This window comes from Homo sapiens, chromosome X (assembly GCF_000001405.40).
Source record: "Homo sapiens chromosome X, GRCh38.p14 Primary Assembly".
NCBI classification, from domain to species: domain Eukaryota; kingdom Metazoa; phylum Chordata; class Mammalia; order Primates; family Hominidae; genus Homo; species Homo sapiens.
The window spans coordinates 51349380-51374322 of record NC_000023.11 but is presented as its reverse complement, the minus strand read 5'-3'; the positions used below and the strand labels follow the sequence as shown (position 1 = coordinate 51374322).

General features: G+C 40.3%; 1 long non-coding RNA gene across 8 annotated transcripts in view; it reads left to right on the top strand.

Moving 5' to 3' along the window:
• Positions 1-24943, top strand: part of LOC105373204 (uncharacterized) — a 175604-nt gene that overhangs the window by 22264 nt on the left and 128397 nt on the right. For all 8 annotated transcript variants that reach the window (XR_007068239.1, XR_007068234.1, XR_007068236.1 and 5 more), the window contains one exon: positions 17296-17379. This is a non-coding gene — a long non-coding RNA (uncharacterized LOC105373204). The remainder of the gene's footprint in view (positions 1-17295; positions 17380-24943) is intronic.

Below are 24943 nucleotides of genomic sequence, written 5' to 3'. Positions count from 1 at the left end.
AGTTTTTTTTTTCCATTAGAGTTGTTTGAGCTCATTATATGTTCTGGTTAGTAATCCCTTGTGAGATGGGTAGTTTGCAAATATTTTCTCCCACTCGGCAGGTTGTCTTTTAACATTGTTGATTGTATCATTTGATGTGCAGAAGCTTTTTAACTTGATGTGATCCTATTTGTCCATTTTTGCTTTAGTTGCCTGTGCTTGTGGGGTATTGTTCAAGAAATTTTTGCCCAGACCAATATCTTGGAGATTTTTCCCAATGTTTTCTTGTAGTAGTTTCACAGTTTCAGGTCTTAGATTTAAGTCTTCAATCCATCTTAACTTGATTTTTGTATATGGAGAGAGAGAGAGATAGGGTCTAGTTTCATTCTTGTGCATATGGATATCCAGTTTTCCCAGAACCATTTATTGAAGAGACTGTGTTTTCCCCAGTGTATGTTCTTGACACCTTTATCAAAACTGAGTTCATTGTAGGTGTGTGGACTTGTTTCTGGGTTCTCTATTCTGTTCCATTGGTCTATGTGTCTGTCTTTATGCTAGTACCATGCTTTTTTGGTTACTGTATCTCTGTAGTATAATTTGAAGTAAGGTAATGTGCTTCCTCCAGTTTTGTTCTTTTTGCTTAGGATAGCTTTGGCTATTCTGGGTCTTTTATGGTTCCACATAAATTTTAGGAATGCTCTTTCTATTCCTGTGAAGAATGTCATGGGTAGTTTGGTAGGGATTGCATTGAGTCTGTAGATTGCTTTAGTGGCATGGACAATATTAATTCTTCCAATAACAATATTGATTTTTCCAATCTATGAACATGAAATATTTTTCCATTTTCTGGTGATTTCTTCAATTTCTTTCATCAGTGTTTTATACTTTTCTTTAAAGAGATCTTTCTTTTCTCTGTTTAATTCCTAGCTTTTTAATTTTATGTGTGGCTATTGTGGCTATGGGCATATGGAAATGCTACTGATTTTGCATGTTGATATTGTATCCTACAACTTTACTGAATTTGTTTATCAGTTCTAATAGTTTTCTTGTGGAGTATTTAGGTATTTCCAAATATAAGCTCATATAATCTGTAAACAAAGATAATTTGATTTTTTTTTTCTTTTCAACCATGTGCCCTTTATTTCTCTTGTCTGATTGCTCTAGGTAGGACTTCCAGTACTATGCTGAATAACAGCAGTGACACTGAGCATCCTTGTTGTGTTCCAGATCTTAGAGGAAAGGCTTTCAGTTTTTCCTCATTCAGTATGATACTAGCTGTGGGTCTTTCATATATGGCTTTTACTATGTTGATATATGTTCCTTCTATAACCAGTTTTTTAAGGGTTTTTATCATGAAGGGATGCTGGATTTTATCAAATGCTTTTTCAGCATCAATTGAAATGATCATATGGTTTTTGTCCTTCATTCTGTTGATATGATGGATCGCACTGATTGATTTGCATATGTTGAACCATCCTTGCGTCCCAGGAATAAATCCCACTTGATCATGATGAATGATCTTTCTAATGTTTGTTGAATTCAGTTTGCTAGTATTTTGTTGAGATTTTTGCATCAATATTCCTCAGAGATGATGTCCTGTAGTTTTCTTTTTTTGATGTGTCTTTGTCTGGTTTTGGTATCAGGGTAATACTGGCTTCGTGGAATGAGTTTGGAAGTGTTCCTTCATCTTCTATTTTCCAGAAAAGTTTAAGTAGGATTTGTATTAATGTTGGATTCAGCAGTCAAGCCAGCAGCTCCTGGATTTTTCTTTTCTGGGAGACTTTTTATTACAGCTTTGATCTCATTACTTGTTATTTGTCTGTTCAGGTTTTGGATTTTTTCCTGGTTCAATCTTGGTAGGTTGTATGTATCTAGGAATTTGTCCATTTCTTCTAGATTTTCCAATTTATTGGTATATAGTTGTTCATAGTAGCCACTAATGATCCTTTAATTTCTGTAGTATCAGTTATAATGTCTTCTTTTTCATTTTTCATTTTATTTATTAGTATATTCTTTCTTTCTTTGTCTGGCTAAAGATTTGCTAATTTTGTTTAACTTTCCAGAAAACCAACTTTTGTTTCATTGATCTTTTGTCTTGTTTTCTTCATTTCAATTTCATTTATTGCTGCTCAGACCTTTTGATTTATTTTCTTCCATTAATTTTGGGCTTGGTTTGCTCTGGCTTTCTAGATTTTCTAAGATGTATCGTTTTCTCATTTGAAGGTTTTCTTCTTTTTTGATGTGGCCCTTATAGCTATGAACTTCCCTTTTCTACTGCTTTTGCTGTATCCCATAGGTTTTGGTATGTTGTATTTCCATTAACATTTGTTTCCAGATATTTTTCAATTTCCTTCTTAATTTCTTTATTGACCCATTAGTCATTGAGGAGCATATTGTTTAATTTCCATGTATTTGTATAGTTTCCAAAATTTCTCTATTATTAATTTCTAGTTTTATTCAATTGTGGTAAGATGCTTGATATTTTTCAATTTTTTGAATGTTTTAAGACTTGTTTTGTGACCTATCATATGGCTCATTCTTGAGAATATTCCATGTTCTGAGGAAAAGAAGGTGTATTCCCCAGCTCTTGGATGAAATGTTCTATAAATATATATTAGATCTGCAGCTCTTGGATAAAATGTCTTGTAAATATATATTGTATACATTTGGTCTATAGTGCAGATTAAGTCTGATGTTTCTTTGTTGATTTTCTGTCTGGAAGATCTGTTTAATGCTGAAAGTGGGGTGCTGAAGACTCCAGCTATGATTACATTGGGGCTGAACTCTCTCTTTAGCTCTAATAGATTTTCCTTTATATATCTGGATGCTCCAGTGTTGGGGGCATATATATTTAAGACTGTCATATTCTCTAGCTGAACTGACCCCTTTATCATTACACGCTGACCTTCTTTGTCTTTTCTAATAGTTTTTGTCTTGAAATCTATTTTGCCTGATATAAATATAGCTATTCCTGCTCTTGTTTTCCATTGGCATGGAATATCTTTTTCTCTCCCTTTATTTTCAGTCTATATGTGTTTTTATAGGTGAAGTATGTTTTTTGAGGATAACAGATCAATGGGTCTTGTTTTTCATCCATTCAACCAGTCTATGTCTTTTGATGTGAGAGTTTAGTCCATTTATATTCAATGTTATTATTGATAAGTAAAGACGTCTGCCATTTTGATATTTGTTTTCTGGCCTTTTCTTCCTTCTTTCCTTCCTGTCTTCCTCTAGTGAAGGTGATTTTCTCTGGTGATACGATTTAGTTTCTTGCTTTTTATTTTTGGTGTATCCATTGTATGTTTTTTGGTTTGAGATTACCATGAGGCTTGCAAATACTATCTTATAACCCATTATTTTAACCTGATAAAAACTTAACACTATTTGCATAAACAATCAAACATAAACTAATAAAACTTTACACCTTAACTTTGTTCCTCTGCTGTTTAACTTTTTGCTGTTTCTATTTATATCTTATTGTACTTCCTATGTCTTGAAAAACTTTGTTGTAGTTATTTTAATTGGTTTATTGTTTAGTCTTTCTACTTGGGATAAGAGTAGTTTACACACCATAGTTACAATGTTATAATATTCTGTGTTTTTCTGTGTACTTACTGTTACCAATGAGTTTTGTAGCTTCAGGTGATTATTGCTCATTAATATTCTTTTCTTTCTGATTCAAGTCCTTGCTTTAGCATTTCTTATAGGACATGTCTGATGTTCATGAAATCCCTCAGCTTTTGTTTGTCCAGGAAATTCTTTATTTCTCCTTCATGTTTCAAAGATATTTTTGTCAGATATACTATTCTAGGGTAAAATATTTTTTTCTTCAGCGCTTTAAATATGGCATGTCACTCTCTCCTGGCCTATAAGGTTTCCACTGAAAAGTCTGCTGTCAGATGTATTTGAGCTCTGTTGTATGTTACTTGTTTCCTTTCTCTTGCTTCTTTTACGATTCTTTCTTTTTTCCTTGACCTTTGGGATTTTGATTGTTAAATGCCTTAAGGTAGTCTTCTTTGGGTTACATCTGCTTGGTGTTCTATAACCTTCTTGTACTTGGATATTGATATGTTTCCCTAGGTTTGGGAAGTTTAATCTCTTTGAATAAACTTTCTACCCCTATTTCTCTACCTCTTCTGTAGGGCCAATATCTCTTAGATTTTCCCTTTTGATGCTATTTTCTAGATTTTGTAGGCATGCTTCATTGTTTTTTATTCTTTTTTCTTTTGTCTCCTCTATGTATTTTCAAACAGCCTATCTTCAAGCTCATTAATTCTTTCTTCTGCTTGATCCATTCTGTTAAAGGATTATAATGCATTTTTCAGTATGACAATGGCATTTTTTTCAGCTCCAGAATTTCTGCTTCTTTTTAATTATTTCAATGTCTTTGTCAAATGTATCAGATAGAATTCTGAATTAATTCTTTGTGTTATCTGAATTTCTCGAAGTTTCCTCCAAACAGCCATTTTGAATTATCTTCCTGAAACGTCACATATCTCTTTTTCTCTAGGACTGGTCCCTGGTGCCTTATTTAGTTCGTTTGGTGAGATCATGTTTTCCTGGATGGTGTTGATGCTAGTAAAATAAAGGTTCTTCAGTGTCTGGGCATTGAAGAGTAGGTATTTATCATAGTCTTCACCGTCTGGGCTTATTTGTAGCCATCCTTCTTGGGAAGGCTTTCTAGATATTTGAAAGGACTTGGGATTGTGATCTAACCTGTATCTGCTTTAGTGGGGCATGCCAAGCCCAATAACACTGTGGTTCTTACAGACTCATAGAAGTATCACTTTGATGGTTTTGCACAAGATCCAAGTGAATTCTCTGGATTACCAGGCAGAGACTCCTATTCTCTTCTGTTAATTTCTCCCAAACATACAGAGTCTCTCTCTGTCTGTTCTGTGCCACTTAAAGCTGGGGGTGGAGTGACCCAGGCACCCTGTGGCCACTACTACCACTAGGACTGTACTGGGTGAGACCTGAAGCCAGCAAAGTTCTGGGTCTTGCTCAAGGCCTGCTGTAACCACTCCCTGACTACTGCCTCTGTTCATTCAAGGCCCTGGGGCTCTACAATCAGCAGGTAGCAAAGCCAGCCAGGCGTGTGGTGTGTCCTTCCCTTCAGGACATAAAAGTCCCCCAGGCTTTGGGAGGGTCCATAAGTGATGTCAGGGAGTCAGAGACTAGAGTCAAAAACCTTAGACATCTACCTGGTATTCTATTATATTGCAGCTGAGCTGGCACTTCAACCGCAAGACGCAATTCTTCCCTTTCTTCCCTCAGAGGAGCCTTACCCTGTAGCCACCACCACCCCCGGCCATGAGGAGTACTGCCAGACTACCACTGATGTCCCCCTAAGGCCCGTGGTCTTGTAAGTCAGCATGTTGTGAATGCTGCCTGGCCTGGAACTCACCCTTCAGGGAAGTGAGCTACATTCTGGCTCAGGGCAGGTCCAGAAATGCCATTTAAGCATCAAGTCCTGGAATCAGGGACATCAAGAGCCGACTTGGTGCTCTACCCCACTGTGGCTGTGCTGGTACCTGGAGCCAGCAGATGTCAGAGGCTCACCCAAGGCCTTTGATGTGGTACCTGGGTATCACTACTGGTTATTCATGGCCCAAGGTCTCTTCAGTTAGTAGGTGATGAATGCTGCCAGGACTGGGTCCTTTTCTTCAAGGCAGTGGGTTCTTTACTGGCCCAGGTTATGTCTATAAATGTTCTCCAGGAGCTAGGGTCTGCAATGGGGGCCTCACAGCTCTGACTGGTGCCCTTTACTGCTGTGGCTGAGCTGGTATCCCAGATGTAAGACAAAGTCCTACCCACGCTTCCCTCTCCTCTTCTCGAATGAAGAAAGGAGTCTGTTTTGTAGCCATGACTGTGCATCTTGGGGGTAGGGGAGGGATGATATCAGCACTTCTTGGCTGCCCTAACTCCTCGTGTCTCAGTAGGTCGAGTCCCCCCACCCCTACTGACTAGTCCACTGTTTTTGACCCTAGTTCAGCCCTAGGACTGGCCTCTCCCCTAAGAGTTTCACTCCTTATGGCCTAGAGTGCTTGTCACATTTACTTGGAGACACAGAGTGGTGTAGCCCTTGGTGGTGAGGTCTGTAGGCATTCAAGTTCAGACTTCTGGAATGGGTGATTCCCCTCTGGCTAGGGCTGGCTTAAATGCTCCCTCCGTGGAGAAGCATCAGCTCTATTTGGTCTAATTTTCCATTCTGCTGTAACAGGACAGTACTGAATTCAATGCCTCAAAACTGTTGTGTTGTTTCTCTTCCAGCACCCAGAGAAGCTCTGCACCACTCTGTCATTGCTGGGGTAGGGGAGGGGTAGTGTTGGCGATTCAGGACTGCTTTTTCTATCTCTTCAGTGCCTCTTTCAGTGATACGAAGTTAAAACAAGGTACTATATGTACTCACCTGATTTTCGATTCTTATGAAGGTGGTTTTTTTTTTTTTTTCCTGTGTAAATAGTTGTTAGCCTTGTGTCCTTGCTGGTGGTGGTGGGTAAGGTGGGGGAGCAATCAGGCAGCTTTCTATCCAGCCATCTTGCTCCACCTTCTCCCCAGCATTTTTTTTAATTACTTCTAAAAAAAAAAAGGGATACATGTGCAGAACATGCAGATTTGTTACAAAGGTATATGTGTGCCATGGTGGTTTGCTGCACCAGTTGACCCGTCCTCTAAATTCCCTCCCTTTGCCCCCTGCCCCCCAGCAGGCCCTCGTGTGTCCCCTGTCTGTGTCCGTATGTTCTCAATGTTCAAGTCCCACTTATAAGCGAGAACATATGCTGTTTCGTTTTCTGTTACTGAGTTAGTTTGCTGAGGATGATGGCTTCCAGCTTCATCCATGTCCCTGCAAAAGATATGATCTCATTCCTTTTTATGGCTGCAGAGTATTCCATGGTGTATGTGTACCACATTTTCTTTAGTCTATCATTGATGGGCATTTGGGTTGGTTCCATGTCTTTGCTATTGTAAATAGTGCTGCAATAAACATACGTGTGCATGTGACTTTATAGTAGAATGATTTTTATTCCTTTGGATATATACCCATTAATGGGATTGTTGGGTCAAATGGTATTTCCGGTTCTAGACCCTTGAGGAATTGCCATACTGTCTTCCACAATGGTTGAACTAATTTACATTCCCACCAACAGTGTAAAAGCGTTCCAATTTCTCCACAGCCTTGCAGCATCTATTGTTTCTTGACTTTTTAATAATTGCCATTCTGACTGGCGTGAGATGGTATGTCATTGTGGTTTTGATTTGCATTTCTCTGATGATCAGTGAAGTTGAGCTTTTTTTCATATGTTTCTTGGCCACGTAAATGTCTTCTTTTGAGAAGTGTCTGTTCATATCATTTGCTCACTTTTTGATGGGGTTGTTTTTTTCTTGCTAATATGTTTAAGTTCCTTGTAAATTCTGGCTATTAGAACTTTGTCAGATCGGTAGACTGCCAAAATTTTCTCATTCTGTAGGTTGCCTGTTCACTCTGATGATAATTTCTTTTGCTGTGCAGCAGCTCTTTAGTTTAATTAAATCCCATTTTCAAATTTGGCTTTTGTTGCCATTGCTTTTGGTGTTTTTGTCATGAAGTCTTTGCACACGCCTATGTCCTGAATGACATTGCCTAGGTTTTCTTCTAGGGTTTTTATGGTTTTGGGTTTTACATTTAAGTCTAAATCCATCTTGAGTTAATTTTTGAATAAGGTGTAAGGAAGGGGTCCAGGTTCAGTTTTCTGCATATGGCTAGCCAGTTTTCCCAGCACCATTTACTGAATAGGACATCCTTTCCCCATTGCTTGTTTTTGTCAGGTTTGTTGAAGATCAGATGGTTGTAGATGTGTGGTATTATTTCTGAGGTCTCTGTTCTGCTCCATTGGTCTATATGTCTGTTTTGATACCAGTACCATGCCATTTTGGTTTCCATAGCCTTGTAGTATAGTTTGAAGTCAGGCAGCGTGATGTCTCCAGCTTTGTTCTTTTTGCTTAGGATTGTCTTGTCTATACAGGGTCTTCTTTGATTTGATATGAAATTTAAAATAGTTTTTTCTAATCCTGTGAAGAATGTCAATGGTAGTTTGGGAATAACACTGAATCTGTAAATTACTTTGGGCTGTATGGCCATTTTCACGATATTGATTCTTCCTGTCCATGAGGATGGAATGTTTTCCCATTTGTTTGTGTTCTCTCTTATTTCCTTGAGCAGTGGTTTGTAGTTCTCCTTGAAGAGGTCCTTCACATCCCTTGTTAGCTGTATTCTTAGGTATTTTATTCTCTTTGTAGTGATTGTGAATCAGAGTTCATTCATGATTTGGCGCTCTGCTTGCCTATTGTTGGTATAAAGGAAGGCTTGTGATTTTTCCACATTGATTTTGTATCCTGTGACTTTGCTCAAGTTGCTTATCAGTTCAAGAAGTTTTTGGGCCAAGATGATTGGGTTTTATTAATATAAAATCATTTGGATTTTATATTATATATATATATAATATAAATTCATCTGGAAACAGAAACATCTTGACTTCCTCTCTTCCTATTTGAATACCCTTTATTTCTTTCTCTTGCCTGATTGCCCTTGCCAGAACTTGCAATATAGTGTGGAATAGGAGTGGTGAGAGATGGCATCCTTGTCTTGTACCAGTTTTCAAAGGGAATGCTTCCAGCTTTTGCCCATTCAATATGATATTGGCTGTGACTTGTCATAAATGGCTCTTATTATTTTGAGATATGTTCCATCAGTACCTAGTTTACTGAGAGTTTTTAACATGAAGGAATGTCGACTTTTATCAAAGGCCTTTTCTACATCTATTGAGATAATCATGTAGTTTTTCTCTTTGGTTCTATTTGTGTGATGGATTATGTTTATTGATTTGCATATGTTGAACCAGCCTTGCATCCCAGGGGTAAAGCTGACTTGATCGTGGTGGATAAGCTTTTTGATGTGCTGCTGGATTCAGTTTGCCAGTGTTTTATTGAGTATTTTCACATCAATGTTCATCAGGGATATTGACCTGAAGTTTTCATTTTTTGTTGTCTCTTCCCAGTTTTTGTATCAGGATGAAGCTGGCTTCATAAAATGAGTTAGGGAGGAGTCCCTCCTTTTCAATTGTTTGGAATAATTTCAGAAGGAATGGTACCAGCACCTTTATGTATTTCTGGTAGAATTCAGCTGTGAATCCGTCTATCTAGTCCTGGGCTTTTTTTTTTTTCAGGTTGGTAGGTTATTAATTACTGCCTCAGTTTCAGAGCTTGTTATTGGTCTATACAGGGATTCAGCTTCTTCTTGGTTTAGTCTCAGTAGGGTGTATGCATCCAGGAATTTATCCATTTCTTCTAGATTTTCTAGTTTATTTGTGTAGAAGTGTTTATAGTATTCTCTGATGGTAGTTTATATTTCTGTGGGGTCAGTGGTGATATCCCCTTAATCATTTTTTAATGTATCTATTTGATTCTTCTCTCTCTTCTTATTAGTCTAGCTAGTGGTCTATCTATTTTGTTAATTTTTTCAGAAAACCAGCTCCTGGATTCATTGAATTTTTTTTTGGAGGGTTTTTTGTGTGTCTGTTTCCTTCAATTCTTCTCTGCTCTTAGTTATTTCTTGTCTTCTGCTAGCTTTTGGATTAGTTTGCTCTTGCCTCTCTAGCTCTTTTAATTGTGATGTTAGGGTGCTGATTTGAGATCTTTCTAGCTTTCTGATATGGGCATTTAGTGCTATAAATTTCCCTCTTAACACTGCTTTAGCTGTGCCCCAGAGATTCTGGTACATTGTCTCTTTGTTCTCATTGGTTTCAAAGAACTTCTTGATTTTTGCCTTAATTTTATTATTTACCCAGGAGTCATTCAGGAGCAGGTTGTTCAATCTCCATGAAATTGTGTGATTTTGAGTGAGTTTCTTAATCCTGAGTTCTAATTTGATTGCACTGTGGTCTGAGAGACTGTTTGTTATGATTTCCGTTCTTTTGCATTTGCTGAGGAGTGTTTTTCTTCCAATTATGTGGGTGATTTTAGAATAAGTGCCATGTGGCACTGAGAATAATGTACAATCTACTGATTTGGGGTGGAGATTTCTGTAGACATCTACTAGGTCCACTTGATCCAGAGCTGAGTTCAAGTCCTGAATATCCTTGTTAATTTTCTGTCTTGTTGATCTGTCTAATACTGACAGTGGGGTGTCAAAGTCTCCCACTATTATTGTGTGGGATTCCTAGTCTCTTTGTTGGTCTCCAAGAACTTGTTTTATGAATCTGGGTGCTCCTGTGTTGGGTGCATATATATTGAGAATAGTTAGCTCTTCTTGTTGAATTGTTCCCTTTACCATTATGTAATGCTGTTCTTTGTCTTTTTTGATCTTTGCTGGTTTAAAGTCTGTTTTGTCAGAGACTAGGACTGCAACCCCTGCTTTTTCTTTTTTTGCTTTCCATTTACTTGGTAAATTTTCCTCCATCCCTTTATTTTGAGCCTGTGTGTGTCTTTGCATGTAAGATGGGTCTCCTGAATATAGCACACCCATGGGTCTTGACTGCATATCCAATTTTTCAGTCTGTGTATTTTAATTGTGGCATTTAACCCATTTACATTTAAAGTTAGTATTCTTATGTGTGAATTTGATCCTGTCATCATGATGCTGTATGGTTATTTTGCACACCTAGTTGATGCAGTTTCTTTGTAGTGTCATTGGTCTTTATATTTTGGTATGTTTTTGCAGTGGCTGGTACAGGTGTTTCCTTTCAATATTTAGTGCTCCTTTCAGGAGCTTTTGCAGGGCAGGCCTGGTAGTAACAATATCCATCAGCATTTGCTTGTCTGGAAAGGATTTTACTTCTCCTTTGCTTACAAAGCTTAGCTTGGCTGGATATGAGATTCTGGGTCGGAAATTCTTTTCTTTAAGAGTGTTGAATATTGGCCCCCAGTCTCTTCTGGCTTGTAGAGTTTCTGGTGAGAGTTCTGCTGTTAGTCTGATGGGCTTTCCTTTGTAGGTGACCTGGTCTTTCTCTCTCGCTGCCCTTAACATTTTTTTCTTCATTTCAACCTTGGAGAATCTGATGATTATTTGTCTTGGGTTGATCTTCTTGTTGAGTATCTTAATGGTGTTCTCTGTATTTCCTGAATTTGCATGTTGGCCTGTCTTGCTAGGTTGGGGAAGTTCTGGATAGTATCTTGAAGTGTATTTTCCAGCTTGTTTACATTCTCCCTGTCTGTTTCTGGTACTCCAATCAATTGTAGGTTTGGTGTTTTATGAAGTCCTATATTTCCTGGAGGCTTTGTTCATTCCTTTTCATTTTTTTTTTCTCAAGTCTTGTCTGCATGGCTTATTTCAGTAAGGTGGTCTTCACACTCTTATATCCTTTCTTCCACTCTGTTGATTCAGCTGTTAATACTTGTGTATGCTTCCCGAAGTTCTCATGCTGTGTTTTTCAGCTCCATCAGGTCGTTTATCTTCCTCTCTAAACTGGTTATTATAGTTAGCAATTCCTCTAACCTTTTATTTTTTTTTAGATGGAGTCTCGCTCTCACCCAGGCTGGAGTGGGGTGGCGCGATCTCGGCTCACTGCAAGCTCCGCCTCCCAGGTTCACGCCATTCTCCTGCCTCAGCCTCCTGAGTAGCTGGGACTACAGGTGCCTGTCACCATGCCCAGCTAGTTTTTTTTTTTTTTTGTATTTTTAGTGGAGACGGGGTTTCACTGTGTTAGCCAGGATGGTCTTGATCTCCTGACCTCGTGATCCGCCCGCCTCGACCTCCCAGAGTGCTGGGCTTACAAGCGTGAGCCACCGTGCCCAGCCTATTCCTCTAACCTTTTACCAATGTTCTTAGCTTCTCTGCATTGGGTTAGAACATGTTCCTTTAGCTCATCTTTGTTTTTTGTTACCCATCTTCTAAAGCCTACTTCTGTCAATTCGTCCATCTGATCCTCTGTCCAGTTCTGTGCCCTTGATGGACAGATATTGAGACCACTTGGAAGAGAAAAGGCACTCTGGCCTTTTGGGCTTTCAGCAGTTTTTCACTGATTCTTTCTCATGTTCATGAGTTTGTCTAGCTTTGCTCTTTGCTCTGACCCTTGGATGGGGTTTTTATGGGGGCTTTTTGTTGCTGTTGTCGATGCTGTTGTTGTTGCTTTCCACTTGTTTGTTTTTCGGTCAATGGTCAGGTCCCTCTTCTGTAGGGCTGCTGCCGTTTGCTGGGGGTTCAGTTCAGGCCCTATTCATCTGATTCACTCCCACACCTGGAGATGTCACTCAAGGAGGCTGGAGAACAGCACAGATGGCATGGGTGCCTGCTTCTTTTTCTGGGACCTCTGACCTCAAGGGGCACCAACCTGATGCCGGTAGGATCACTCCTGTATAGGGTGTCTGACAACCTCGTTGGAGGGTCTCACCCAGTTGGGTGGCATGGGGGACAGGACCCATGTAATGAAGCACTTTGTCCTTTGGTGGAGGGGGGTGTGCCTCACTGGGGGAAAATCCACTCATCTGGGCTGCCCATATTCCTCAGAACTACCAGGAGGAAAGGCTAAGTCTGTTGGTCCACAGAGACTGGGCCTACCTCTCCCCCTAGGGACTTAGGCCCAGGGAGATCTGGGTTCTGTCCCTGAGCCTCTGACTAGAGTTATTGGAGTTCCTGCAGGGAAGCCACACCCAATGAGGAAGGATGGGTCAGATTCAGGCCTGAAGAGGTCCTCTGGCCTCAGACTACCACAGCCTGTGTGTTGGGCTGTGGGGGACAAGTCTTGGGACTAAGCCATCCAGCCTCCCTGGCTCCAGCAGGGGAAAAGCTCAGCCTGGGGCTACAGAGATGGGTGCTGCCCTTCCCCTGCCCAGGGAGCTTAGTATGTTAGGCAGTTGCGAGTCCCACTGATGGCTGCTGCCCCACCCCCAAAGAGCTCAAAGGGCTTAGATAGCAGGCAGCAGCAGCCAGTGCTCGTCGCCCCTCCCCCCAGGAGTTCCGTAGGCTTAAGCAGATTCTAGCTGAGAGGCTGTAAGAATGTGTGTGTTCTGGGGTTGGGATGCTAGGCCCTGGTGGCATGGATTCATGAGTGGGATATTCCGATCCATGGGTTGCACAGTTACTTGGGAAAAGTACGGTTTCCCCGGCTGGGTAGCACGCTCACCTACCACCTCTCTTGGCTGCGGGGAGGGGGATCCCCTTCCCTGTGTGGCTCTTGTGGCTCTCAGGTGGGCCGCTGCACCACATTGATCTTCCTTCTCCGTGGGTCACACCAGCCTTCTAGTCAGTTTTGATGATAGAACCTGGATACCTTGGTTGCCGGTAAAGGATTCACATGCTTATTATGTGTTTTGTTTGTTTGTTTGTTTTTGTTGTTGTTGTTGTTTTCCATGGGAGCCTCAGAACACACTGCTTCTAGTAGGCAATCTTGGCCCCGCCCCCTCCCCAGCATCTTTGAAAAGACTCTTTCCAACCAAAATGGAGGGCCCCTTACCAAGTGCTTCTTAGTAACCCTTGTGCTGTTAAATTAGAAGGAATAGACACAAAGATCCACATTTCTCTTCTAAAGAATGTTCCATCTCCTGAGTAGACTGTTTTCCCAGAAAGTGACCTCCAACTTAAAATAAGTTGATGCCAGTTCAAGAAGAGATGACATCTGATTTAGACAGCTAAAACACAAGACTCTGGGTTAGGCCTCTATCTAAATGAATACTTAATATACAATTATTAATAGATGGGGAACATCTTCCTTTACAAACTCCCACTAAACTTCTTTCCTTTTGTCCTTGTTTCTCCCATGTTGGCACTACTATCACCAGCTGTTGCTTATGAAGCAAATCTCTTTCTGCAATGAGCCCAGGATTATGTAATAGATAACAAAAAGGTGCTTGACGGGTGTGTAGTCTCATGCCCCTTTCCAGTATTTCTAGCCTTCTGTGGTGAGTATCTCCTCCCTTCGGACAAGAGTGGATAAAACGTCAGAAATATATCCATCTTTCTCAAAACCAGTCATTGGTGCTTGACACTAGTGTAATTAAGAACAATGTTCATCATTGGCCTGTTAGTACTTTGCAGAAAAAGGGCATGGGAAAAGCTTCTCAGTAAAAAATTTAGTTCATTAGCTTTAACGCTGCCACTACCCCAACTGATGTATGAAACAGTAACACTGCCCCACTTAAAACCTAAGACAATACTATTTCAGGATGGTATAACAAATTTGGGATGGTTTTATCTGGTTTAACCCCTCCTTTGGTCAGCTCAGCCAGCCTGACCCTTTATGTTGGGAACAGAGAAATCATACTAAAGACACCTGGCCCAGTAGCACTAGAGATATGGAATGGATACCCAAAGAATATTGTATCGACAACATTATGTTAAAAAGTACTGATTGACGTAACACTGAATAGGCACAATGACCATGTATTTATTAGTTAGCTCCAAATAGAATGTCTTGGCTATGTGGCACTAACCTATGGCCATGGTTACCCCCAGGAAGGTTAGGACAATGTTCCCTTGGTTATGGTTGGGTGCAAGGTTAAGTAGTTCATACCTTGTCAAAACCTTCAAATTTTCCTCATTTACAATCTTGTTGGATTTGTTGTGTCCTATTGGTATGACCATTTAGCTTCCATCTTCACACCACAACTAGGTATTGAGCATGTCATTTTGCCATGTAGAGACCCTAACCAATTATACACAAAAAGCACTAAATGATAGCTGCATGGGTATTTTGTTATTAAATAATGAAATTACTCTTGTGAGAAATGGTATATTATAGAACTCTATGGCTTTAAGCATATTCAGTGCTGCCCAAGGGGGAACCTGCACTATCATAAAAACTGAACGTTGTATCTATATCCCAGATGAATCAAATAACATCACTAAATTAAACGATGGCATGAAAACCCAACTAACCAACCTTTCAGATCCAAAACCCTCTCCAAGCAATTGGCTAAGCAGCTTGTTTGGATTTTGGGGAATTTGGTGGCAAAATCTGTTATTTATCCTGGGAATTATAATCATATGTTGTGTTTTGTCCTGTTTTTGTCTACACTGCTGTTATGGCATTTGTTTGCAATGGAGTCAATGCATGACTAAAAAGATTAGAATAATGATTGCCCAAAGAACTGCATTAATTGAAGATATATCTGTTTAGCCTAACACAGGTCACAAAATCACTTTTTTCATGTTTCTTTAAATTTGGCCTATACTCCATCAACTTTATGGCTTGTCCAATTTCCCTTTGCCATGGCACATGACATTCTAGGAAAGAACCTTCCTAGTGACATGGGACTATACTCCTGAACATAAAAGGAGGCAAAGCTATTGTTTTGCTCATCTATGATGCTTTCTTTGAAATATCTTTTTTTTTCACATAATCTTGCTCCTTCTAATCTTTGAAAGATATTGATTAAAAAGGGGGAAATGTGAAAAATGAATCAGATTTAAAAGCCATTGGAATTTTAAAAAAGCCATTGGAACCCTCAAAACATTTTAAGCCTTGAGCGAGATGTGACTGTAATCTGAGTCACATAGCATGATTATAACTCTACTTCACAGATTATAGCTTAACTCTTGTCCTCATTGTTATTGTTCTGTAAATGACTAGGAAAGACCAGAGACAAGACCTCCCCCTCCAATCACTGAACTTTATTACAGATTAACTGCTTCCTTTATTGTCCTGTACCTAACTCAGACAAGATGGCACCTGAATAGGAACCCCATGACAGTTTCATCTTCACTGTGGAATGTTAAATATACCTTTCATGAAATAAAAGGACCTCCTTAACTAATCAGATCATTGTAACTGTGCCTTAAGCTTTACATAGAAAGATACTGAAATTCTGTGAAACTTTCCTGAACTTTGTTTATATAAACGATCCCAAACTTCTACACTTTGGAATACTGACTTCCATTCTTTGGAGCTTGTGCTTTCCTGGGCAGCCTGTCCTCAACTTTTGCTCATGAATAAAACTCTCTTTAAACTAGATTCTCATGTTTTTGATTATTTTAGATTGATGAGCCCTATTTTCATATTTATAAAAGACAAATAAAGAAAAGGTCTCTATTATCTGATTCATGTTCTACCCCTAAGTTTTCTTCTTTCTCATGGTCTCCAGTCCTCCTCCTGTTAATGTTTTTAGAGACCATTTATTATTATTATTATTATACTTTAAGTTCTAGGGTACATGTGCACAACGTGCAGGTTTTTTACATAGGTATACATGTGCCATGTTGGTTTGCTGCACCCATCAACTCATTATTTACATTAGATATTTCTCCTACTGCTATCCCTCCCCTAGCCCCCCACCCCCCGACAGGCCCTGGTGTGTGATGTTCCCTGCCCTGTGTCCATGTGTTCTCATTGTTCAACTCCCACTTATGAGTGAGAACATGCAGTGTTTGGTTTTCTGTCCTTCTGATAGTTTGCTTAGAATGATGGTTTACAGCTTCATCCATGTCCCTGCAAAGGACATGAAATCATCCTTTTTTATGGCTGCATAATATTCCATGGTGTATATGTGCCACATTTTCTTAATCCAGTCTTTCATTGATGGACATTCGGGTTGGTTCCAAGTCTTTGCTATTGTGAATAGTGCCACAAAAAACATATGTGTACATGTGTCTTTATAGTAGCATGATTTATAATCCTTTGGGTATATACCCAGTAATGGGATTGCTGGGTCAAATGGTATTTCAAGTTCTAGATCCTTGAGGAATCGCCACACTGTCTTCCACAATGGTTGAACTAATTTACACTCCCACCAACAGTGTAAAAGCATTCCTATTTCTCCACATCCTCTCCAGCATCTGTTGTTTCCTGACTTTTTGATGATCGCCATTGTAACTGGTGTGAGATGGTATCTTACTGTGGTTTTGATTTGCATTTTTCTGATGACCAGTGAAGATGAGCATTTTTTCATATGTCTGCTGGCTGCATAAATGTCTTCTTTTGAGAAGTGTCTGTTCATATCCTTCACCCACTTTTTGATGGGGTTGTTTTTTTCTTGTAAATTTGTTTAAGTTCTTTGTAGATTCTGAATATTAGCCCTTTGTCAGATGGGTAGATTGCAAAAATTTTCTCCCATTCTGTAGGTTGCCTGTTCACTCTGATGATAGTTTCTTTTGCTGTGCAGAAGCTCTTTAGTTTAATTAGATCCCATTTGTCTATTTTGGATTTTGTTGCTATTGCCTTTCTTAAAACCTAGAAAATAATCTTGGATCTATATTTCTTTTGACATATATCCTCTTGGTGTTACCACTTTATTATTGAGGGCCTTGTTGGGGAGTTTCTCTGGGGAATGTGTGGGAGAGGGGAAGTTTGGAATTTGGCAGATTTTCTTCAGAGTTGTTTGATATGCAGGTGCCTCTTTTTCTAGGAGTGGCTGTGGGGCTGTGATCTCTCCTAGAACCTCAGAGGCATGAAGCTAGAATATCTTCCCCTTCAAGGAGAATAAGCCAAGGTGAGCTCATTTTTTTTTCTTTCTGGTCTGCCATCTGCTCTGCCTCACTGGCTCAAACAAGTTCTGAGATCATGATATGGGAAGTACAAGATTCCTTTGGGTTCAGATTGTAAGTACTTTCCTTTTCTCTAGCTTCAGGAACAGTTCTTTCTCTGGTTTCTATGGTGGCCCTAACTCAGAGTCATCGCATCTCCTAAGGAGGTTCTGTGACTGGAAATACCAACCCCTGGAACTGGTGGGTGAACCCTTGAAGCATCGATAGGGATGGAGGGTATATTCTGGGAGGGGATTCTGAGGATGGGAGTATCTTTGGATATATTAACATTTAAATTTATTTTTATTTAATAATATTGTTCAGTACCCAGAGGATTCATTTTTGGAGTTAATTTAATTTTAAAAATATTAAGTACAGGCCATGTGTAGATGAGACAAAAACCGTAGGGAAGACATGAGTTACTAAAGTGATAGAAATGATGCTTAACATATTTTGTATTGAGAACTGAGCTAGTCACTGTGAGGACAGACACAGAAAATTGAGTCCAATTTCTAGTCCTCAAATCCCTCACTTGCCTAACAGAATTTATATAGCACTTGATGCACTAAAATCACAAACAAGACACATACAGCACATACAGAAAAATCATCTACTAATTCCAGATTGGATGGGATCTTTTTCCAATTAGTGTCAATGCTAAAATTAATTTTAATTCAACAAATAGCCTACCATATTTCATTCAGTGTGATATCTACTGGATATAGAAAAGGCAATGAAATGGAATATTTCCCCACAAACATTTCAGAATCTAGACAGGGAGCAAACACAAACAAAAGTACACTAAAGGAGTATAGGTTCTCAATTTGAAGTTTGTGTAGAGTAAAATGTTGAGCAGGGAGGGGAAAAATAGAAGAGACAGCAAAGTAGATTGAGAATGAATGGCTAAATGAGGAGGAGGAAAATGAGATATCCCTCATTATAAATGTGAAAGGCCTAAACAGACTTAGTAATTCTATGGATCACTGGGTTCACATCTATGGTTTTCACCCAAAGGGAATGGTTCTGTCATGGTGCCCTTGTGCCTTGTTTGTATCCACATTGGCAAAGGCTTGAACCACACCTAACCTGGGTTTTAGAAGAGTGCCTTATGATCCTCCTGGAACACAAGAGAATGGGAAGCCTATAAGAAGCTGCTGTAAGGCGATCTCTTACCTTCCTAGTTCCCCGGGAGGCTGTCATGAGACAGTTTCCCATCTACTTCCTGGTTCTGAGGAGGTAATAGGCTTTCTGTCCCATCCTCTTCAAAATAGGGCTGCAAGATATAGAATCACTTAACTGCTATCTAGATTTAGCTCCTCAGTAACAAAGTACTGTACAAGTTGTGTTGTAGTCTCCTAGTCCCTTTTGGTGTCATCCTTTTTGGTGTGTGAGACAAGGATCACAGGGATCTGGCACCTTTGGCTAATCTTTCTTTCACTGTCTATGTAAGTACTAAACTGCCTAAATCTAAAAGCAGCTTGTTGAATTTTTACTAGTCAAATCAGTCAGGCCTTGGCTTTGCCTTATTATTACTTGTGAGCCTGACAAATTTTGTGTCAATGTGAAGCCAGTAAATTTATAGTGTCCTTTTAGAAAACATGGAGCTGCACAGTCCTGGTTAAGTGAAAAGATAAATTCCTTGGCATCTGGTTGCACATGCTTTTGCCTATGTGGTGGGCAAAAGGTGAAGGAGGGTCCTCCTATTAAGGGATTACATAGGCCATATTAGGAAGGATAAGACTCCCAGGATCTGGTAACATAGCCCTTGCCTAAGAGGTAGGTGAGGGAGGAGAAGTAAGGGTCCTCGCACAGGGTCTGTATGAGCCCTGTTAAGGGACAGGACTCCCAGGGATCCCATAGTGTTACCATGTTACCTGCTGATAAACATTTGGAAGTCAAGTGGCTAGAAGTAAGATTGAAACCAGCTGTTCAATTGATGCTTTGATGTTATTAAGAGTACATTTGTTGAAGCCCAGTGAATGGCCATTTACAACCACAAAAAAGTAAGTGCAAAGATGCACTTACTGGTGTAAGTTGCTCACCCTGTGCCACCCTATTCCCCTATTCTCTGAGCTTCCAGCTACCCTGTAACTCTGGAGGTGCCTCTTGTTCTATGTTTCTGTGAAAAAAAAGATGCCTAGTAGAGTTTGGGCAAAACTTGCTATGGAGACAGAAAAAAAGTAACTTGAGTGAGGCTTGAGAAGATCCATTGTGTATATAGTTGTAAAAATGTGTAATTGGTTTAAAATAGGTTACATACTTGAATCTTGAATGTTTATACGGTGTTAGGAAATTCCTCTGATGTCCAAAGTTTTCACTGTATAAATGATGTCTTGTTGGTTGACAAAGGTTTCATTATCAGCAGGCTTGGCTGCCCAGCTACGGGAAAAACTGATAAGCTCCCCCAAAATTCAAGGCCTGCTTTTCAAATAAAATTTCTTGAAACAATGTAGGTAGCTTCACAACACTGAATCCCTCTGGCATCATAGAAAAACTGCTGTGTTTTGCAAGCTAAATAACAGTATGTTCCTGATAGAAAAACTATAACTCCTACAAAATTTGGCCATTTGTATATAATAAAAGAGGCCACACTATAGGGGACTTTGGCCTTACCCTGACAGATTGACTCCATTCCAATTTTTAATCCTCTCTTCCTGGAGGCCTATAAAGTCACAGTGCCTTTTTGGAAAAAAAGACAGCTGTGACCCCACAAGCTGGGTAGCCAGGTATGGAACATTGGTGAGTGGTAGCGCAGACCTGGTTACTGAAGCGTTTGGCAATAAAGGGGGACAAGTGGTCCTTGACCATCATCCCTGAGACCCCTGATGACTTGCATTGATAGTTATAGATAAGAGATAGGGACTCCATAAAGCCAAAAAGAAGTATTCCATGGTTATTATCCACCCTTCTGTCCCATTGGGAAAGCAAAACTGTTTCCCTCTAATCCCTGGCCATAACCGCAGATAACGTGCCCTGATAATCAAGCGCAGTCAGTTACTCATACATGTGCCGTGGTCCACTCTTACAATGAGCTAGAAATTAGGTAAATTGGAGAAAGCTTTGAACAGATTCCAATAAGAGTACAGGGGCTTGGCTTATCCGACTAGCAGATGAGATAGCCATTCCAGTTTTTATAAATGAGAAGGAATGGAAATCACTCAGTCATATAAAGACTGGCCCCATGCTCCAAGCCAGCCTGGCCACATACACTTCAGCTAATAACATTGACATAGAAGAGTATGTCAAGACCAGTGAGGAATTGTTGCAGTAGGTCTTTACATTCATAATGAAACAGTGACCAACCTGAGATGAGTTTCTGTATTTGATAAACACCTGTGGGTGAGAGCAGGGGCAGCTATAACTTCCCTTAGAGCTAAAGTAACCTGAGCCTGGATTTATAGTGGAGAACAAGAGTTCTTAGGTGATGAGATAGTCATACAGGGTCAGATTCACTGGTTTGTTCAGTTGGCACCACCAGGCTATCAGCGGCAATAAAAATCTTCTCTTGTGTCCCAGACATAGCCTCCAGAAAACTCCTCAGCTCCTGGGAAACAAAATGCTACAGAACACAGGACTAGGAAAATGTCCTTCAGGCTAAGGAGGAGAAAAAGAAACCAACTGAAGATCCAGACAATAGTACCTTGTAGACCTGGCTATTATACCAGGGTCCCCCAAGAGATTGATAATATTCCCATGAGAGAAGTTCTCTCTTACTATCAGGCCACAAGAGGACCACAAAATTTAAAGATCCTGGCTGTAGGAGGGAATAATCCTTAGCTAGCTTTGGTGTTTACTGTGGACAAACAGGAGGAGCACCAAAAGGACCTAGAATCCTTGATGAAATTTGTGCTGTTCAAGCTAGTGTTGACCCAACACCTTCAACACTACCTCTTAACCCAGGTCCTGCCCCGCTTCAAGAAAAGAACAACTAGGGCAGAGGCCAAGGTCCCTGCTTCTCTAAGTGGGACTGGAGGCCTTATACACTGGTCAAGGTGTGTTACTGACTTGACAGCAACCAAGGTTGCCAAACCTTTTCAACTCTTCTGAACACTGGGATACAAGCCATTGTGATGCTGGCTAGCTAGCATCCATAGTCATGGCTAGTGTGGCAGGTGGAATGATGCTGTCCCCCTCAAAATGTTCACATCCTAATCCCCAGAAACTATGAATATGTTACATGGGAAAAGGAACTTAGTAGATGTGATTATGTTACAAATTTTGAGGTGGGAAAATAATGCTGGATTATCCACGCTGGCCCAGTGTAATCACAAGAGGCATTATAATTCTTATAAGAGGGAGTCAGAAAGTCAGAGAGGAGAGAAAATACTATGCTGCTGGCTTTGAAGATGGAGTTAGGGGCCACAAGCCAAGGAATGCAGGTGGCCTCTAGAAGATTGAAAAGGCAAGGACATAGATTATCCCCAGAAGCCTCCAGAAGAAATGCAGCCCTACAAACACCTTAATTTTAGGCTTCTGATCTCCAGAATTGTAATAAAACAAATGTATATATTTTTTGAGCCACTGAGTTTGTACTAATTTGTTGTAGCAGCAATAGGAAATTAACATAGCCTCAAAATTACTTTAACTAGATTTGGAAATCTCAGATTGGACAATGAACTTATAAAATCTTACATATGGGTCCTTTCAGACCAATATACACTCAAGTGGTTGTAACATTTCATGGTTGCAATGGATATTCCCTGTGGGGAAATGACACAATTAGAACAGTGCTAGTAGTGTGAGTGTACAACCAGAAGCCTGCTAGACTTCCAGACTTCCCCAGTCTAGTCATGTAGTAACTTCAAAGCAATAAAGATATTGGGGTGGGAAATGGATGTCACTATACTAACCAAGGACTAATGGAGGCAGAAGTGACTAAAGAAACTACGTAATTTTATACCCGTCCTGTGAATCTGTACAGACTTACCACTCAGGCCAGTCAGTTCTGAAAAGCCCTTTGAGCTACAAGTGTCAGTAATTGACAATTACACAGACTGGAGCTTATGACAAAACAATGTGGTCACTAGGTGATATGGTTTCGCTGTGTCCCTACCCAAATCTCATCTTGAATTTCCACGTGTTGTGGGAGGGACGGGAGGTAACTGAATCATGGGGGCAAGTCTTTCCCATGCTGTTCCATGATAGTGAATAAATTTCACAAGACATGACAGTTTTATAAAGAGGAGTTCCCCTGAACAAGTTCTCTTTTTGCCTGCTGCCATCCATGCAAGATGTGACTTGCTCCTCCTTGACTTCTGCCATGATTATGAGGCCTCCCCAGTCATGTGGAACTGTGAGTCCATTGAAACCTCTTTCTTTCATAAATTGCCCAATCTCAGGTATGTGTTTACCAGCAGCATGAGAACAGACTAATACACTAGGCAATGGTGCTTCCTGGGGTTTTGGACACAGCACTTGGCTGGCATGACCACCTGGCATAGTCCATTTGTCAGCCTATTACTGGTTGTTATTGGTTGCTGGTGGACTCTGAGAGACTAACAAAGCAGCAGCAGGTGTTGTGACACCCCGACATTTGTACTGTGAGGTGGGTCAGAAAGGAGAACATCAACAAAGTAGATGTTGCCCAATGTCTTCGTTTGTGCTGTTACAACAAAATACCATAGACTGGGTAATTCATAAGGAATAGAAATTTATTCTCTCACAGTTCTGGAGGCTGGAAAGTCCAACATCAAGGTGGTAGCATATTTGGTTGTCTGGTAAGTGTTGCATCCTCTGAAGGGGAGGAACCCTATGTCTTCATGTGGCAAAAGGTGGAAGTGCAAAAAAGGGATGGGCTCCCTCCATCTAGCTCTTTTATAATGGCACCTAATCCTATAACAGCTCTACCCTCATGACTCAATCACCACCCAAAGGCCACATCTCCCAATACTGTTGCATTGCAGATTAAGTTTTAATATGAAATTTGAAGGGGACAAAAATATTCAAACTATAGCACCCAACAAGCCTCCATTATTAAGTGGAAGTTGTATATCCGGGAAAAAGTAAGCTTGGCATTATGGAGCCTCACAGTTACATGAAATATTGGCTGGTCGTGTTTTAGATGAGGCTGTCTTAGATGTGGGGTCTCTGCCAGCACCTTCAACTTCTTGAGTGCTTTAGTACACTGAGGTTCCTGAGGACACCTGGGCCTGGTTTACAGATGGATCAGCTAAGTTCAAAACCAGTGAGATGTGCTGGGCCACTGCTGCATTGCATCTCCAAATAAAACTGTGTACTGTAACTGCTCATGGAAAAGGGATGTCTGTTTAGTGATATATTTTCATGGTGTTTTCCCTGGAAAACATCCCCCAAAATGCACCCTGTTATATTTTTCATTGACTTATGAGCAGGAGTCAAGAGTCTGGCAGTGTAGTAACTGGCAGTAGGATGACTGGATGATCAAGTCTCAGTCCCGGCAGAGACAAACAACATAGCAGCAAATTGCACAGGACCACAACCTCTGTTAATGACTAACAGGGATGCCCACGACAAAGGACCCATTGAAGATGAACATCAATGGCAACAGCAAGATGATCAAATCTGTACTGCCCATAAAAGGACACCTGGGTAGGGCATCCACCTGAATATAACATCACATGGGGTACAGTAATCTATTTACAATTCAGGACTGGGCCAAAATAAAAACAAGACCTAGTGATTCCAGAACATGAGACTTGAAGCCTGGCAGATGTGTTCAGACTGAAAGCTATACAACCAAGTGGCAAAGGGAGCTTTGGGACACATAGCCAGAGGTACCAGACCTGGCCAATCCTGGAAAATATGTACATCCTATCCTCCTCTTGAGGATACCACTGGACATTGACTTTCATAGACAACTTTTCAGGCATGGCATTGCTATTCTTATCAACTTAGCAAATGGGGGCCATACTATTCAGTGACTCTAAGATGGACTATGTTACATATTTGGATTCCCTGAACACATCTGGTCAGACACTGGTACTGCCTTTATAGCAAAAAGTAACAAACAGTGGGCAGCCATATAGATATTCTCTGGATATTTTATGCCCCATATCATTTCCAGGCAGCAGGTGCCACTGAAAGATAAAGTGGACTCTTAAGGGAGAAAATGAAAAAGACAACTGGTTAACCAAGGCTCAGATCCCAATGGAGCACACACTTAAGACAGGCAGTTTGGGCTCTAAATGTGGTAATTCTTCAGAAAGGTAACTCCTATTTAAATAAAATGTTTAATTATGAGGCTGAAGAGTAGGAAAGGAAGTCCAGGCTGGCAGTAAGAAAATACAAACCATAATTTTCTCCTCTCACTCTACTTTTTCACTCCTACACCTACTCCTGGGAAATCAAGCTACTAGAACTTGTAAGCTGTGGGGGTGGGAGACTAACCTAATGCTTCTTTTGCCATCTGGCTATATTTGGGCAATTATGGACATTGATGGTACTGATCATAAATATGAAATGACCACTCCTAAGGTGATCTTGGCATGACCCACATGTCAGGGAGTGTGAGATAATCTAGATGGTACAAGAAATACAAAGAAGAAACTTCCA